We start from the raw sequence: 18,602 nt of genomic DNA on the forward strand, positions 1-18,602 counted from the left end.
AATACTTCTGATTGCCGCAGCAGACAATGATGAATCATACCTAAACAAGTTTGCTGCCTTTTCATTTCTGTGGGTCGTAATCAGACTCATTGTTTTGTAGCCAGTGAGACATTTGCAGCAGCATGTTTGGGTCTGTGGGAGGAGGGAGGCTTGCAGATCTTCCCAGCGATGTGTGTGCTTGTCCCCACTAGCGCAGTGGAAACAGTGTTCTTGTTATCCAGGTTTAAGCCCTGTTAGGGATATGGCTTGTCCATTGTCATCGTGATGATACTGCTTAAAGATATCCTTTGTTGAGCACCTGCCATATGGCAGACGGTGTAAAAGGTGCTTTACGGTCCTGGTGTCATGGAAAGCCTTCCAACAACCTTATGATAGAGGTATTATTATCTTCATTTTGCCAAGAAAACTGAGGCTCTGGGAAGTTAAGTCAGTCACATAGCCAGTAGATACCAGGCACCCATAAATGTTTGTTGAGTGAATGAATAAATGAAGGAATGAATGGCAACTCCAAACTAATGGGAGAGAAATGCAAGAAGAGAGAGACTGATCAACATGAGACAAAAAACTTGGTGCTACAAGTTAAGAGGTTTTGCACATCCCAATTATTCATTTTTGCAATTTTTAAGCTCCACTTTCAAATAGAGACGGGGATTGGGATGGGATTTCAATGCAGGCGAATAACACAAGACAGATGGAGGAATATGTTTATGATCAGCAAAGAGATCACTCATCTTGAAAAAAACAGATAAATGGGAAAACACTGAAGTGCCAGCCACAGTACTAAATACTCTACTACATTATCTCATTTAATCCTCACAAAGTCAGCTTTGAAGTCAGCACTGTTATCTCTGTTTATGGCTGAGGAAACTGGAGCTCAGGGAGTGAGGGAGGCTGTCCAAGGTCACACAGCTCCGGTGGGTGAGGGGGCAGGGACTGGACCCAGGCACACCCAGCTCCACAGCGTCCCTGAGACTCTGTAAACAGAAGCCGGGAACAACAATTTCATTATTTATGCTTGAATTTAATTTTGTGTTTGATGGAGGAAAAAATGGATGATACACAGATTGCTACCAACAAAACCCAACAATTGGTTCTTTGAGATTCTAGCTTAGTGCAGGGAGAAAGGCAAGCCGGTGATGAACGTTTTGGGGTAGCCAGAAACAATGAACTAGGGGTGACTGGTGTGAAATTCAGTTGTGTGGACCATATTTTCTAAACTAGAATCTGCACACCATGCTCTCCCGCCATGTTCTCCCCTAGGAGAAAATTGTAGCTTGCAGGCAGAAATGTAAACACATAATCAATTCTACTATAACTTGATATATGTGTTCCTAAAAATTATTGCACCATGCAAGATTGGGCAATAAAAACCGCAGGGTTTATGACGAATACAGGCTTAGGGCAACAGCTCTCAAAAACTTCATCAATGACACATTTTTTAAAAAGATAAAAACCTAATAAAAAGGGCAGCACCGTTTTACACATGCTAAATGGTTAAGAGATACATAAATACTGCAGTAGAGATGGGATTTTACCTCAAAGTGCAAAGGTAAATGAAATAAAGTTTTTTCAATGGAAGGCTTGCAGCTCTTGAGGACCTGCCAAATGGAAGAAGGACAGAGACCTGGAGCCCTATGGAAAGTTCTGACACCATGTGTGGAAGGACATGGCTTTTAACACGTGTGGTGACTGGAGGTAGGTGGTAGGTGCTTGAGGCTGGTGTGTGTGCGCCTTTTGTATATTCTCAAGCAGCTGGGGTCAGTTGGGCACCATTTTTCTGAACTTACTTTTGTGTTTCTTGCAGAGGAAATCACCAGGCACACACAAAACCCACAAGGTATTCAAATTGTTCTGTAATATGTCAATCTGTCCGTACAAATTTGCAGTTTCAAAACAAGCGTTATAGCTGAACTGACTGTATGTGGGAACATCACTGCAACTCTTGCTGACCCTGTGTGCTGAAGTGGGGAGCGTGCGGCTTTCATACCCCCAGCCTTTCTGCACAGCTCTTCAGTTTACCTGGGGGCCCCTCAGCAGTAAAGCCAGATCAACAGGCTCACCCGTGAGAGCTCCTCTTGTGTGATTGTTGAGTGGCTCAGTGATTGGGTTGGTTGGGAAACAGAGTGTGGCCCTCAGTCTTCCTGAGGATGGTAATTAGAGGGGGATGTGTGCTTCTTCTTCACATATACCTGGTTGTTCTCTGATTGCTTTGGTGTCTTTTCTTCTGTTTCTTCTCCTGGATGTTGTTTTCATGTTTCCTTCCTTAAGTGCTACATGACCCTTGGATTTTCATGTGTGTTTAAGAGTGAGGCAGAGAAGGTTGACTGGGAGTGTTGTGTCCACAGGGGGCGCTGGTGTCTGGCAGGTGTCACTTTTGGGGTGCTCAGGACAGAATCAGCTGGCATTCTGGAGGCCTCTGAATGCCAGACTGTGCGTTAGCGGCTCTAGTTCTTGTTGGTTGATTCAATTTGTATCAGAAGAGCTTTCGGTATTTTTTGCCTGGGGTGAACGCCTGGCTCCTGGGAGATCTGCATGTGGCCCTGGGGTGGGAGGTAGAGGAGCTACCTGCTCTGTAGACAGGATTTCACAGAAGACCCCTGGTCCCAGCGCTGCTGTGCACTCCTCCCAACACTTGTCTGGCGTATCTGAGTCTCTGCATTTCCTCAGGGCCAGTTGGTCCCCCCAGGTATGCACCCTTCTCCTGTGTCAGCTCCACATTCCCTCTCTAGTCTGGCTTCTGGAAGTTTATGAAACCTGAACCTCTAGTTAGCTAATGGCATCCCTTCCATCTTTTCATCACTGTGGCTTAAAATACCTCACCCCACTTATTTATTTATTTATTTATTTATTTTTAATTCAGTATCTTTTGAAGGTCATCTCAGGAAGGGCCAGGTACCATGTTGAATTAGAAGTTAATTCTCATACCATAATCTAAATGTCTGTTTCCATTAAACAGCATTTTTACAAGGAAAGGACTTTACTCTTCGAGTTTCCAGTGCCTGGCACACAGGATGACACTTAAAAAATAATAATAAATAAATAATAGAGAAATAAGGTGTGTGTTGATTGAAATACATTGATTGAGTTCTTTGGTTACTTCTAGGTCTGAGAGTCTAGGATTCGGTGATTCAAGGGGAGAGGCTGAGGAAAGTCTTTAACTAGATGGGAAGGCTTGGGTCCTTGGGTTTTCACGAGTATAGAAAAAGGTTGCATTAGCCCCACTTACATGATTTGTTTTATCTTCCCCACTTCCTGACCGTGCCCACTAAATCTCTGAAATCTCTGGGCTGTCTACATTTTGCCTGGATATGGATGTCGGAATTGTTCATCTTCTTTCTTCTTGCTGCCCTGAACTCTTTTTTTTTTCCCTGTAAAATGCAAACACTACCTTGTAAATAAACTCTTATCAGATACCTTCTATTTCCTAGGCACTGTGATTGGCCAAGGGCGTACATCTGCATGTTCTCTGCTCTCCTGGGGATCCCAGGCAGCAGGGGAGAGAGGGAAGCACACAGATTAACCATGGTCCTGGGAGACCACCGCAAGCCTGGAGCATACACAGGAGTGGTGGGGACACAAAGAGAATGCCCAGCTCAGTTTCGGGAGGTCAGAACCACCACACAATTGAAGAGATGCTTGAACTGGGTCTTGAGGGATGAGGCAGCGGGAACACAGCATGTGCAGAGTCGGAGGTGTGACAGGATACGGAGGCACTGCTTGTGCCCCAGGCAGTCAGCAACCAGGCAGTGCCAGCAGCACCAACCCCGCATGATTTGTCCCAGTAAAGCTTTGTCTTCTCTAGTGATCTGGAAACCTCTCAGGGAAACATTTTGTAAAAGCCAAGCCATATTTATTTATTAATGGTGGTTATATAGTTTCTAGAGCATTTTGTTGGATAGGTAGAGACTTTTCTGCTTTTTGAAAGTTATCACTCCTAGCCATTGTGGCCAAAAAGAGAAAAATGCCAAAAAGTGCCAAACTGTGGCTATGATTGTCATGTTTAATGTGGAGAGGATTTGGCCAGGGGTAGAAGAGCATTATGTATAGAATAGAACAAAGAGATTTATGGCAAGAAGAGATACTGGCATTAAGCAAAGAATTGCAGATTTAAACTGAGAAGAGAGCCGCACAGCAGATGGAGTTAACACTGGAGGTGAGCTCTCTCCTCTTTAGGTACCTCATTGCTATTTTCACATCAAAAGCCTATTTTTGACAGTAATTAGAAAGCATAGTGGGTTCAAAGTCATTGCAATTCACACCTAATGAAGGCAAACTTTGCTAATTTTCTCCTCATAATAGTAAGTTACATCAATTTTAAAAGTTAGCAATTTACAGCACAGTTGAAAGAAGCATGTTTTAAAAAACCTTGAATTCTTAGAGGCAAGTACCATAGATATTTTCTTTTTTTTTATTTTTCTTTGAGATGGAGTTTCACTCTTGTCGCCCAGGCTGGAGTGCAGTGTTGGAATTGTGGCTCATTGCAACCTCCTCCTCCTGGGTTCAAGAGATTCTCCTGCCTCATCCTCCCAAGTAACTGAGATTACAGGCACCCGCCACCGCGCCTGGCTGATTTTTGCATTTTTTAGTAGACATGGGGTTTCACCATGTTGGCTAGGCTGGGATTGAACTCCTGACCACAGGTGATTTGCCTGCCTTGGCTTCCCAAAGTCCTGGGATAACAGTCGTGAGCCACCGCGCCGGCCGACATTTTCTTTCAGTCCCTTTTACACATTTAATTTATTTATTCACAGGTGGCAAGCTTCATATTGGTAAGAATTGTTACTATTATCCTGGCATGTATAATATTATATATGTGCCAGGTACCATGCTAAGCACCCTATACATACTAATTATTAAATCCACACAACTCTAAGAAGCAAGTACTTTTCTCCCATTTTTCAGTTGGGGAAACTGAGGCACATAAAGGTTAAGTAACTTGCTCAAGGTCTAATATCCAGTAAGTGAAGATTCAAACCCAAACCTGGCTCCAGAGCCCATCATCTTAAAAACTCTACTGCTTAAACTCTCTTCCCTTCTCTAAAAATATAATAAATAGTATATACTATTTTAACATGTTATAAGTTTATATATTATATAAAAATATAAAAATATTTTATATATTATATATTACATAAATATCATATATTAGATAAATATATGATATTTATATAATATATAATAATATATAAATTTTATATATTTATAAATAAAATATACTATTTTAACATAAAATACATACATGTATTTTAATATATATGATCTCATATATAAGAATTTAAAATTATCCGCAGGATCTACCTATCTTTCTATACAGTAAATGTATCTTGCTGAATGTTGTATCCTAAGTGTGTCTGCATCATTGACAAACTCTTCATGCACATAGCTTTTATGCATTTATTGCAGGCTGTGTTAAGTATGCATTTTTTGCTGGGTATTTTGTTAGTTTCCAGTTTCCCACCGTCACACACGGTGCCCTGAGTGGCAGAAGGCACGGGGCACTCCACGTACAGACCGCGTACAGTGTGCCTCCCCAACGAGTAAAGCCCTGGCACTAGGGATGCTTCAGAGCTGCAGATGCTCGCTCGGGCAGAACCTCCAGCGGGTGCCACCCCTGCCTGGCGATGAAGGTGCAGGGATGGGTGGGGTCTCCACTGCCCTTTCTAGGGAGGCACTGCCCAGCCTGGGAACGAAGAAGCCCACCACACAAGTTCTACCCTTTAGCGCCTGGCAATTTTGGGGACTGAGCCCAGGAACAGCTGGGAACTCTCCTCCCTGACTGGGGCACCAAGAGGAGTAATCCACCTCTTTAACCTTTTTTTACAAAAGATAAATGACCTTGAACCCTCTGGGTCATATTCAAGTCACTTTTGCAGGAAGTTAGTGATCCTAGCAAGAAGAGAAAAAGCAAAGTTAAAGGTATTTGCACAATTGGAGTGGGCTCTCATGATTTATTTTCTTTCCTTTTTGAATTAGGATTTGATCAGGAGTCCTGGATTCGTAAGAGTCAATTGCAACAGGGATGTAAAGAGAGCTCTGGACAGGAGCTTGTGTTTCTTTCTTTCTTTCTTTCTTTCTTTCTTTCTTTCTTTCTTTCTTTCTTTCTTTCTTTCTTTCTTTCTTTCTTTCTTTCCTTCCTCCCTCCCTCCCTCCCTTCCTCCCTCCCCCTCTCTCTCACTTTCCCTTCCTTCTTTCCTTCCTTTCTTCCTTCCTTCCTTCCCGTCTTCCTTCCTTCCTTCCCTTCTTTACTTCCTTCCTTCCTCCCTCCCTTCCTCCCTCCCTCCATCCCTTCCTTCCTTCCTCCCTCCGTCCCTCCCTTTTTCCCTCCCTCTCTTTCTTTTCCTTCCTTCCTTCCCCCTCCCCTCCCCTCGTGTCCCCTCCCCTCCCCTCGTGTCCCCTCCCCTCCTCTCCCCTCCCTTCCCCTCCTCTCCTCTCTTCTCCTCCTTTCTCCCTTCTCCTCCCTTCTCTTCTCTTCTCTTCTCTTCTCTTCTCTTCTCTTCTCTTCTCTTCTCTTATGATAGGGTCTCACTTTGTCATCCAGGCTGGAGTGCAGTGGTGCGATCACAGCTCACTGCACCCTCTGCCTCCTGGGCTCAAGCGATCCTCCCACCTGAACCTTCTAAGTAGCTGGGACTTCAGGTGTGCACCACCACAGCCAGTTAATTTTTATTTTTTGTAGAGATGTGGTCTCATTATGTTGCCCAGGCTGGTTTCCCACTCCTGGGCTCAAGCAATCCTCCCATCTCGGCCTCCCACAGTGCTGGGATTACAGGTGTGAACCATTGTGCCCAGCCAATAGCTGGTGTTTTCTTGAAGATTTCCTGGGCCTCTCCAGGGGGTTTTTGTTGTTGGGGCATGTTCCATGGTATTCACAGCAGAGTTGTTTGAAGGGGCACGTGCTCGCTTATGTGGCTTAGGTCCACGCTACCTGTAGTCCTTCGGAGGCAAGCCAGGCTGCCAGCTGACTGTCTTCCACCACAAAGCCTGTGTTCTTCTCCTGACCCTTTGTTCTTTGCACAGCGTACTGTGGCTCCAGTCCAAGTACACAAACTTCCATGTAGTTTAAAAAGAATCAGTTTAACTGTTGGTGGTTAGACAGATTGGTATGTACCTGTGTGGAGAGCACTGTGACCCAGCAAAACACTTCAGGGCTAAGAAGACACGAAACGGTGGCATTTGCCATCTGACCCGGCAGGCGCTGGGGCAGATGAAGCTCCAGTTGGAAGGGCTACTGCTGAATTTTTTTTTTTTTTTTTTTTTTGGTTGTTGTTGTAGCTCTGGGAGCAGATACTAGCTCTGAAACTTTTCCCCTGGCTGGCTTGGCTGCCTCTCCCTGCCGGGCAGGGGCCAGGAAGCCTGGGTGTCAGGCAGACCCGAGCCAGGCTCTGCACAGCAGGGCATTACGCGCCCCACGCATCCTCTTCCATCCCCAGGCACAGATCAAAGGCGCAGCCCAGGAGGCGGGAGCCCCTGCACACTTTCCACCTCTGCTGGGCTTAGCCTCTTGGCTGGTTGGTCTGTGGAGTGCCTGAAGTGACCAGCTTTTTGTAAGGTACGGTTTATTTGACTTTGCAAGCGAGCACCTGCTTTGGGGGTTGGAGAGGTTTGTGTTGACTTACGAAGACAGCTGTGGCCTGTGTTCAGCAGAATAATGGCAAAGCATTGGCCCTTCTAATAAGGTGCAGGGGAGCAGTAAACCGAGACAAGTCCACTTAATGAACGGGTGTCCTTATTTTTATTGTTTGAAATGATATCCAAAGGGATTGCAGATAATTAGTTTGTGTTCTTATGAATGATAGGCTAAGGAGATTCAAAACACTGCTTGGGCCCTGCCTGGTTGGTTCCAGAGAGAAGGTTTTCAGTGGTTTCTGCTTCCCTGGCTTTATTCTGAAGGTCCTTCTCTTCCATTCAGTTCTTACTGCAATCGGAGGGGACATAGCTGATGGCTCTGTAGTTCCATTTGAGAGCACTTAAAGATATTCTCCAAAGAAACACTCTCTGACATTCTGTGCACAGATGTAGAGCAGCTCGGGGCTGAGCTGTGGCTGTGGGCCAGGCAGTCTGAGTTGGAGAGACAAACAAATTAGACACCAGTCGCCTCTCAGCCCAGCTTTTCTCCCTTCAGTAACACCTGTGGAGTTTATGAGTTCCTCTAGGGAAAATCGGAGAAATCTACATGAGAATGATGTCTTGTTTCCTGCTGGGAGGACCGTCAAAGAGTTTATAGGAGACCATCCTGCAGTCTCAATGCGTTTATTGCCGTGTCATATATTGGGGGCTGACTATTGCCACATTACTGGAGCACCCCATTCCCATCCTTCCTCAGCTGTTGAAAGTGAGACAGGTTGAGGACGCAGTCCGGAGAGTGTTGCTTTTTTCAAGTCTTGTTTTCTCAAACTTTGGACTCACCAGAAGTAAGTCACCATGCTTCTGTGTTGGCTGGGGAATTCTTCCAGTTAGAATTTAGTTGTAGGGAAGTTAGAAGAGGAGGGAGCATGGGTCAGTGATGTCTGGAATTTGGGGTGTTCTAGTGAGATTTGGGGTGGGGTCATGTCCCTGTGGCTGGCCAGGGTAGTGGCCCTGAAGGGCCAGGTTGGCAGGGCTTCTAGGAGAAGGCCATCTCCCAGAAGGAGATGGAACCCCAGGTGGGAGGGTATGTGGTGTGTTTTGGATGTGATTCAGAATGGAGGCAGTGAGGCAGAAAGGGAAGGGAAAGGGAGGCCGGGCAGGAAGCCAGGGTTGGGGTTTTGCTCTTATAGACTTGACTCCAGACCATGGCCCTTCCTTCTCTGCCATGGATCCTTCTGGAGGAGAGGGTATCACACCGCTTGAGGCTCTGTGCACAGGCGGGTTCTGTGGGCATCCGCGAGTGAGTGGATGGCAAGTGAGAGGGGGGCCATGGGGATCGGAACACTTGGCATCGTGACCTCTCAGCTCTCTCTTCAGACCCCCATGCACTACTCTTCTCTATGACAGTGAGACCACCACTGCCTCCGACTCTTTCCAAAGCCCGAGGTCAGCTAGGCTCCTCGTGCTACTCACCCTGCACAGAGGCAGTCTTTAGTCCTCTTTGAGTCTTGGTCTATTGCAGTATCCTCCTAGAAGCCTTCCTTAGGAAGCCGCAGGAATCTCAAACACAGCCTCATCAGCCCTGCCTAACTCCTTTGGTGGCTTGACGTGGTTAATTTCAAACACCTTAGCAGGGCTTAGGCTGAACGGGCCCCTCGTTGCCCTCCTACCCCCTGTCCCTGCATACACCTCATGCTGGAAGGACCTGTGTTGCCCAGGCACACAATAGGTGTCTCGCCCTTGGGTCAAGCCGATGCCTTGTATACGTTCTGCCTGGAAAGCCCCTTCTTTTCAGACAGCAAACCTGTACTCAACTTTGATGACTGAGCCTTCCATGAGGCCCGCCAAGACTGACCTGATAGAATTTTCCATTCCCTTCTCTGTTTCCCTCCAGGCCTTCTTGCCCCCATCTCTTCTATTTTGCATTACACTGCTGACCTGCACTTCCTGTGTCTCGGTGAGGTTCTTCAGGGCAGGAACTGTGTCTAGTTCAGTTTCACCCTTAGCAACAAGTGGTAATGAAATATTTCTGCCAAGGATCCAATTCAGATTATGTAAGCATTTACCTTTGTTTAAGGCAAAATCCTGATTCTGGAAGAGGAAAGTTCTTTGCTTCTCACAGGGCAGGCATAGAACAGGCCAGAAGCTGTCCATGTGTGGCTTGGGAGAGACCTGGCTATCTGTACTTGAGCCCTGAGACCCCGAAGGCCCCCGGCTGCATCTGCTCTTGGAGCTTGGGGTGGCCTGGGTGGTGGTCGAGTAGGATCTGCAGCGTGGGATCATCGGCAGAGTCAATGCCATTCCCTTGCAGATCCACTCTCCCGTAAGAAACTGTTCTGGGCTCTGAGAGGAACGAGGGGAAGAGGGGAGATGGGTGAGCTTCCTTGCTGCATTTAGCAACTCAGTCCCTGGGGGAGGTGTAGACACTGACACACTCCCTGTGGCCCCAGGGAGAACAAACCCAGAGCCCAGTGAGGGTGCAGTATGAGCAAAGTGCTGGGGCGGGGGGAGGGCAGAAGAGGGAGCAGTTGATTTTGGCTTAAGAGTAAACTGAAGAGAGAACAGACACGGGGCGGCTGAGCAGCAGTGTGTTCATGGAGAAAGAATCAAAGCGCACATCTTGTACTTTGATGCCCATAGGAAGGGCTCTCCTCTGGCCCCTCTGGCTTTGTTTGGAGCAGAAAACAACAAAGTGAGTTCAGGTAATACCTGGGGCAGTGGGAATTAGCTAATTAGTTTTCTGGAATTCTAACAGCGGTGGCATCCCAGGGGCCTAAATTAAAGCCGCAGATGTGTTTATTTGGTACACCTGGGGCTTTAAATGCTAATCCAAATGCTTTCAGACAGGACCTCAGTCTATTTCTTGACAATCCTCTCTGTAACCTTAAGCATGTGGTCTTCCTTTTCCTCGTCTACTGTCTCTTTTTAGGGGTTGTTTTCTGGGGACCTGCAGTGTTCCGGGCACCATGGGAAGTAAAGAGGTGACTGGAATAGTCCCTGCTGTCAAAGCCCTTCAAGTTTAGTTGGGAAGCTGGCAGAAGGGGGGATAAGAGACTAAATGATATATTATCTGCTCAGAGAGGCACGTTTCAATAGGTGTACTCCTAAGGAAGCCAGAAGTTTAATTAATTCCATTGGATAAACTACTCTGTGATAGTGAATAAAATTAAGGCAAGCTTAAGACTTAAAATTAAGTCTTTAGTTAACATCTAGAAATTAGAATTATGGGCAGTTAATTCCAATTTTAGAGAGGAAACTGGAACTTATTAACATCTATTTTATGCCAACTGCCCTGCATGTTAATTTAGTCCTCACTACAGCCGTGTAAGGTGGTTCTTAGTATCTCCATTTTATAAAAGAGGAAATGGAGGTTCAGAGAAGTTAGGTAACTTGCCCAAGGTCACACAGCTTGAAAGCAGCATAACCATGAATCAAGCCCCTGGTGGTCTTATTGAAAAGTGAATGCTTTTACCACTATAGCAGACAGATTATGAACACTTTGCAAAGCCCAAGTTTGAGAATTTTTTTGACATTGGTGAAGTTCAATGATAATGAGTTTATTATCTCATAACTTGAAGAGACCTGTAAGACCTTCTCTATGAGTCCTGCTGGTTTTGATCTAGCTGGATGTTGCAACTGGGAACCCCAGAGCGCTGTGTTCTCAGCACCTCGTGGGCCTCGGTGTCCATGTTCGTGTGCAGGGGTGTTGAACCCCTGATGTGTGCTGCTGGGTGGTGTGAAGAAATGGGTATTGACGCCCGTCTGTGAATGGACCGGGGAGTGGGGAGGAGTTGGGTCTGAAGGGTAGGCAGTACACGGAAGCTGTGGCTTTATTTTTCTGAGCAAAATGATGAGTGTACAGCACCCAGGAGCACCCAGAGCCAAGTGTTATCTTAGGAAGTGAGTTCCAGCCCATTCTGGGACTCAGCGCTGTTGTTGACAGATGGAGGCTTCATTTAGACAGAGGTGCCTCATTGCATGATTGGTAACAGGTGGAGTGAAGGGACCTCAGAGAGGAGTAGGAAAATCATTCAGACCCCGATTTTAGTTGGATGCTTAACCCCTCTAGTCTGAGAGCCTTTTATTTATTTGTTTGTTTGTTTATTTTGAGATGAAGTCTTGCTCAAGTTGCCCAGGCTGGAGTGCGGTGGTGTGATCTCGGGTCACTGCAAGCTCCGCCTCCCAGGTTCACGCCATTCTCCTGCCTCAGTATACCGAGTAGCTGGGACTACAGGCTCCCACCACCATGCCTGGCTAATTTTTTGTATTTTTTGTAGAGGCAGGGTTTCACCGTGCTAGCCAGGATGGTCTCGATCTCCTGACTTTGTGATCTGCCCACCTCGGCCTCCCAAAGTGCTGGGATTACAGCCGTGAGCCACTGCGCCCGGCCGAGCCTTTTAAGAGAAATCCATTTTTCACCTGTGGGCAAACTTTTGGCTGTTCTATTCTAAGGAGGGAAGAGGAGGGGAGGGGTCGCTCTAAGGAGAGGCCAGGGCAAGAATGTTTTCCTTGGAATGGGCTGGAGCCAGAAGGCTCCTGCTCTCATCCCCAGGGAAGGGCCCATGGTGCTGAGGGTGCAGGTGGAGGAGCCAACGCTGGCCGCCTGTCTGTCCTGCCCCCCTGTTTGCCTGCTCACCTCCACGCAGGAGATGGGTCTGCAGGCCACATTCTTAGAATGCTCTTGGGTTTGTTTGTGTTTTTTTAATTGAGACAAAGTCTCACTCTGTCACCCAGGCTGGAGTGCAGTAGTGCGTTCTCAGCTCACTGCAACCTCTGCCTCCCGGGGTCAAACGATTCTTGTGCCTCAGCCTCCCGAGTAGTGAGGATTACAGGCGCCTGCCACCATGCCCAGCTAACTTTAGTATTTTTGGTAGAGACAGGGTTTCACCATGTTGGCCAGGCTGGTCTCGAACTCCTGACCACAGGTGATCCACTCGCCTCGGCCTCACAAAGTGTTGGGATTACAGGTGTGAGCCACCGGCCCGGCCTGCTCTCGGTTTTCTTTGTCTGGCTAGAAATGTGTCTTTTTAGATGAGGCTAAAAAATGTGTCCCGGGCTGGAGGGCAATGGCACGATCTCGCTCACTGCAACCTTCGCCTCCCAGGTTCAAGCGATTCTCCTGCCTCAGCCTCCGAGTAGCTAGGATTACAGGCACCCGCCACCTCACCTGGCTGATTTTTGTATTTTAGCAGAGACGGGTTGCATCATGTTGGCCAGGCTGGTCTCGAATCTCCTGACTCAGGTGATCCACCTGCCTCAGCCTCCCAAAGTGCTGGGACTACAGGCATGAGCCACTGCACCCGGCCAATCAGCAACTTTCTATGGCAGCTCCCCTTTTGGCAAAGCACCATGACAAAAGAACCCAAGGCAATCCTTTTCCTAACCCAAAGTTTGGAGCATGGCTGGACAAGTGAACACCATTTTTAAAAAGCAACTTAAAAAAAATGCATCCTTTTCTGAAGGAAAAGGGATTAATCTTTCCAATGAATCTTTGCTTTCAGTAAAGCATACTGAGGGCCATCATTGGACATTCTAAAATTGTTCCAAATGTGTGACCTTGGACAAGTCACTTGAATGTCACCCAGCCTCAATTTCCTAATGTGTAAAATGAGAACCACGTTACCTAAGTTTTAGGACTGTGATGAAGATGAAGTAAGGTTACAAATGGAAAGCAAGAAAAATCTCTGCACAGAGTGATCCTGACAGATAGCAGCTGTTGATTATACTTAAAATGTTTGGGGTTTGTGTCGCTAAAGAAAATAACAAAGATAGCCGGGCGCGGTGGCTCACGCCCGTAATCCCAGCACTTTGGGAGGCTGAGGCGGGTGGATCACTTGAGGTCGGGAGTTCAAGACCAGCCTGACCAACATGGAGAAACCCCATCTCTACTAAAAATACAAAATTAGCCGGGCATAGTGGTGCACGTCTGTAGTCCCAGCTACTCGGGAGGCTGAGGGAGGAGAATCGTTTGAACCCAGGAGGTGGAGGTTGCGGTGAGCTGAGATCGTGCCACTGAACTCAAGCCTGGGTGACAGAGCGAGATTCCGTCTCAAAAAATAAAAATAAAAAAAAATAACAAAGATGTGAAGACAAAGAATGCTTTTACTTCCCACGCCCCCTCCCTTCATCTGCAAAACCAAGACAATAATACTTTTGTCATTGAGCTGTTGGAAGAAAATTTCCTGGCACATAGTATACAGGAAAGAAATATTGGTTTTCTTATTCCATTCATACTCTCTTTCAGTAAATAAATACACACATATATATGTATACAACATATGTCCTTACTGATTTATAAGAACATGGACCACATGTTTTTATATGCTTATATGTGGTTTATGCATGCATGGACCACAGTATATATTATTTGCCTTATAAAATATATACATACATACTTGAAGTGAATAGGTAGATGAGCTATAAACTGAAGTTTTGGTATTTTTTATGTGCTCACTTGGAATACAATGTTGTAACATACAAGCTCTGTAATAGGGACTTTACAAACTTTCTCAAGTGGTTCTGGGAGAATAGGTAGAACCTGTTCTTGAAATAATTGCAGGACTTTCTTGGCTCCCAGCATGATGAAAACCCTGCTCTGCTCAGGAGCGCATCTCGCTTTTTGTGTGAATGCAGGCTTAGTCTCCTTAGGCCAAGTCTCTAGTGCTGTCCTTTAGAACTTTAGAGGAATGCCTTAACTTTCTATAAAATCAGGAAGTGTCTTGTCACTACTAGAAATGGCACCAGAAAGTAATGATAATACAGATTTATAACTCTGAAAGTGAGGATGTCTGAGAATTTTACATTCTGCTAGTTTAAACTTTTTTTTTTTTTTTTTTTTGAGATGGCTTCTCACCCTGTTGCCCAGGCTGGATTGCAATGGCGCAATCTCGGCTCACGCAATCTCTGCCTCCTGGGCTCAAGTGATTCTCCTGCCTCGGCCTCCCGAGTAGCTGGGATTACAGGTGTGCCACCACGCCCAGCTATGTTTTGTATTTTTAGTACAGATGGGGTTTCACCATGTTGGCCAGGGCGATGTCGAACTCCTGACCTCAAGTGATCCGCCTGCCTCGGCCTCCCAAAGTGCTGGGATTACAGGCATGAGCCACCGTGCTCGGCTGTGCTAGTTTAAATTTCTTAACACTACTTTTCATGGAAGAGATTCTTTGGAGATCGGCTTTTAATTCCAGACCAGGCACTAGCTGTGTGTCTTCAGACAGGTCCAACCTTTCCAAGCCTTATTTTCTTAGTTTCTTCATATGGGATAAAAGTAGGGAGAGAAATATCTAGAAGACAGGGTTGTTGGCAGGATGAAATTAGATAATTCTTCACACGTGTCCTTCCTTTAATATTGGTCTGCAGTCTACCATGATCTTCAGCTTCTCTTCTACTGAGATTCCTTATAATGCCTGTCATTCTATTCTTCCCTGCCTTTCATTTATTTTTAAAATGTAATCATCGTTTTTCAAAAATTATAAATATACACACAGTCTAAAAGTTAAATTATAAGCTTTAAAATGAAAAATGAAAATGAAAAACCTATTTCTATCCCAATTCCTGCTTCCTAGAGACAACCATTTTTAAATTGACGAAATTTAAAACCATTTTTAAATTCTTTCCTTTTTTTCTTCTTCTCTGGAATTACCTCTTTATTTCCAAATAACAACTGGTGTTGCAATTTATTGTTTGTGTCTAGGCCATCTTTTCATTCTTACTGTAGAATATGAGAATTTAGCTTTCTTATAGCTCTTTCCTTCTACCCCAAGAACACACTGTTAGCTGGGTGCAGTGGCTCACTCCTGTAATCCAAGTGCTTTGGGAGGCCGAGGCGGTAGAATTTCTTGAGCCGAGGAGTTTGAGACCAGCCTGGGCAACCTAGCAAGACCTCTGTCCTTACCAAAAAAAGCTATCTGGGCATGGTGGCATGTTCCTATAGTCCTAGCTACTCAGGAGGCTGAGGTGGGAGGATTACTTGAGCCCAGGAGTTGAGGCTACAGTGAGCTGTGACTGCACCACTGCACTACAGCTGGGCAACAGAGCAAGACCCTGTCTCCAAAAAAAAAAAAACCCACCACACATTCTCACATGCACACAGCCAGACATGTGCACACATGTGCACATACCCAAACATATGTGCACACACATGTACAGCCAGACACATGCACACACGTGCACATACCCACATATGCACACACACGCACACACCCAGACACGTGCACACATGCATATACCCCAACACAGATGCACACACATACACACACCCACATACATACACATACACATGCCTTTCCCTTTTCTCATTCTTCCAAAATAGTTATATCAAAACTTTGTTTGAATCAGCACTCACCATAGACTTACAGTGTGAGTAACTAAAATTTCAGGCATTGTACATCTTATTCTTCCTGCACCTGTCAATAATACATCCCCATATTCTGATAGAACTTGTAAACTCCTTTCAATATTATTGAACACATCAGATAATTAAATCTGTTGCCCTGTTTTCTTCTTGGAGGCCTCCTTCCTGGAGCCTTCTGTCCCTGCTCCAGTGTGGATCATTTAGCTGTTCTCATCATCACCTTGTGAGTCCCCTCTCCTTCTACCCTCTGTTGGATCCCCCATCCTGGCCCCCTGGCTTCACAATTGTTAATTTACACCACTCCCCAGTAGTTTCTTGAGAAAGTGAACTTGGGAGATAAATTGCTTTGAGATTTTGCATTTCAGAAAATGGTTTTACTCTACTCTCACTTTGATTATTATTTTTGTTGAGTATTCTAGGTAGGGAAAATTTTCCCTTAAAATTTTCCGGGCATTATTTCATTATTTCCAATGTCCACTATTGCTGTTGAGAAATCCAAAGTCATCCTGATTATTTTAAGCCCTTGAATGTGACCTGTTGTTTCTTTACCTGTTTATCTCCAGGGTTCTAAAATTTCATGGATGTGCCTCCATGTGTATCCTTTTCATTTGTTGTGCTGGGCTCTTGATTGGTCCTTTAAATCTGGAAATCTATGTTTTTCAGCTCTGAAAAATATTCTTTGGGAATCTCATTTTCTCCTTTTTCTTTATTTATTCTTCTAGAACTCCTTCTGGGCCTCATGGATTGATCTTCCAGTTGTCTTTTTTTCCCCCATGAACCCCCAAAGAGTTTATTTTCTAATAGAATAAACACATTAAAAGGAAACATTAAAATGTTTTCTCTTTGTGGGTATTCGGTGTCTGATAAGTCCTTTCCTCGGTAACGTCTCAGTTGTCCTACTTTAAGACGAAAAAAAAGAGAATGGTTAAATGTATAAATAGGAGCCACATTAATGAAATGTTTCAGAATAGCCTTCAGTGTGGCCAAGAGTAGCTATTTTTGTCTCATTTTGGAAATAATATGGTAGGAAAATGACATTGAAAACTACTGAAAAAACTTCAGCTTAATGCTATAGTTGTCCTGTTATGCAATAACAAAATCATTTCAATTTTCTTCTCTTTTCCATTCTTTGTATCTTGATCTTCAACTTTGCCTTGTAGCCCTTCTAGTAAAGTTTAAATTTCTGTTATTGTTTAAACAGTTTTTAAGAATTCCTTCTCGTTTTCTCCATGTTTACTTTTTATAGCATTCTGTTCTTGTTTTGTGGATACATCATCCCTCTGAAGATATTAACTGTGGCAGATGTGTTTCCTTTGTGGTTTTTGTTTGCTCTCTTTTGTCTCTTTGTTTCTTTTAGTGTCTACCTTTTATGTTTAAGGATTTTCTCAAAAGCCTTGTGATGCTGATGATCTTTGGATGTCTGCTTATTTTTAAGTCAAGCATAGAAAGTTGCTGATTGGCCAGCTGTGGTGGCTTATGCCTGTAATCCCAGCACTTTGGGAGGCTGAGGCAGGTGGATCACCTGAGTCAGGAGATTCAAGACCAGCCTGGACAACATAATGCAACCCCATTTCTGCTAAAAGTACAAAAATTAGCCAGGTGAGGTGGCGGGCGCCTGTAATCCCAGCTACTCGGAGGCTGAGGCAGGAGAATCGCTTGAACCTGAGAGGCGAAGGTTGCAGTGAGCGAGATTGTGCCATTGCACTCCAGTCTGGGAAACAAGAGCGAAACTCTGTCTCAAAAATAATAATAATAAATAAATAATAAAAGAAAGCTGCTGGTTGACTGCTGGGCCTCACAGAAGGTGATTGGATATGGATCTGTTATACTGAGTACCCCCAATTTTCAATATCTGTCCATCCTTAAGCATGATTGCATTTTAGGGGAGCCAAATGGGAGAAAAGGAATGAGAGAAGGGACATTGCGTCATTTGAGTCAATTTCCCTGTTTTCACCCTTGCATCTCATATCTGTTGCCAGCTATGTCCAAGAGTCCAGATTCTCTTTGGTTTAATTTGTCCTGAGTAAACTTCCAGACTTCTGCAGAGAAGGGGAAAGGGCTGCTCGGGAAGGGAGAGGGAGTCCTCCCACTCTTCAGCCCTACTTTTCACCTTGTTGCCTGGAATTCCCAAGCCTTCTCTGGGTTCTGTGCATTTGAATCAGTTTGCTCCTCAGGAGGCCTCACCCAGTTCAGGACTGGGCTTGGAAAGGACACTTTCCAAATCTAGCCCTACTTCTCGTCTGCTTTGAAAATGCTAACTTTTGTTGGCATATCTTGTCTGCCGTGATTTTCTCTCCTGTCTCTTTGTCTTTGGGTCCTTATACCTGCACATTCCTTCACTGTCCTTCTAGTGAGGTTTTGAAGGGACTAGAGACAATGCATGTTCTCCATCTGTCCCATTTCACCAGAAGCCTCCTCTCCTTTCTTTGTCCCCGCCTTTAATAGTTCCTTATCTTCCTTGAAGCTTCTGCCCTGCACTTATTCTAGTTGAACTTCAACTCAACCTAAAAATTCTCATTCTACCCGAGTCCTCTAAAGGACACAGATTTACTGGTACCATGGGAAGAGAATAGCTCAGGTCAATGTCCCAGCCACCTAGAGCATGTTGAGCTAGCTCACTGTTGCCACTTCAAACTGACCTGGGTCAGTTGGCTTCATCTGGTCAAGCCCATGGTGCTTCTGG

The 18,602-nt window shown here is 45.2% G+C and overlaps 1 protein-coding gene and 1 non-coding gene across 28 annotated transcripts in view, besides 1 other annotated feature; one reads left to right on the forward strand and one right to left on the reverse strand.

Annotated features, from left to right (window-relative positions):
* Positions 1 to 18,602, forward strand: part of GREB1 (growth regulating estrogen receptor binding 1) — a 159,901-nt gene that overhangs the window by 49,672 nt on the left and 91,627 nt on the right. For 7 of the 27 annotated variants that reach the window (XM_011510418.4, XM_024453250.2, XM_011510419.4 and 4 more), the window contains exon 1: positions 7,260 to 7,549. The exons of 9 other annotated variants lie outside the window; for them this stretch is intronic. The gene's annotated coding sequence lies outside the window, so the exon portion shown is untranslated. Of the gene's footprint in view, positions 1 to 1,485; positions 1,696 to 7,259; positions 7,550 to 10,126; positions 10,269 to 18,602 lie in introns of those variants that run through there. 11 more of the 27 variants (XM_047446467.1, XM_005246192.5, XM_047446461.1 and 8 more) reach the window with 3 other exon arrangements.
* Positions 5,580 to 6,089: an enhancer, noted in NCBI's record as "H3K4me1 hESC enhancer chr2:11678265-11678774 (GRCh37/hg19 assembly coordinates)". NCBI's record gives its function as "activates a minimal SCP1, AML or CMV promoter by ChIP-STARR-seq in naive H9 embryonic stem cells {active_cell/tissue: H9 hESC(naive)}" and the evidence as "EXISTENCE:reporter gene assay evidence [ECO:0000049][PMID:30033119]".
* On the reverse strand, positions 8,046 to 8,118 carry MIR4429 (microRNA 4429). Its single transcript, NR_039627.1, has one exon. It is a non-coding gene; the product is annotated as a microRNA 4429 (primary transcript).

Source organism: Homo sapiens, chromosome 2 (genome assembly GCF_000001405.40).
Source record: "Homo sapiens chromosome 2, GRCh38.p14 Primary Assembly".
NCBI classification, from domain to species: domain Eukaryota; kingdom Metazoa; phylum Chordata; class Mammalia; order Primates; family Hominidae; genus Homo; species Homo sapiens.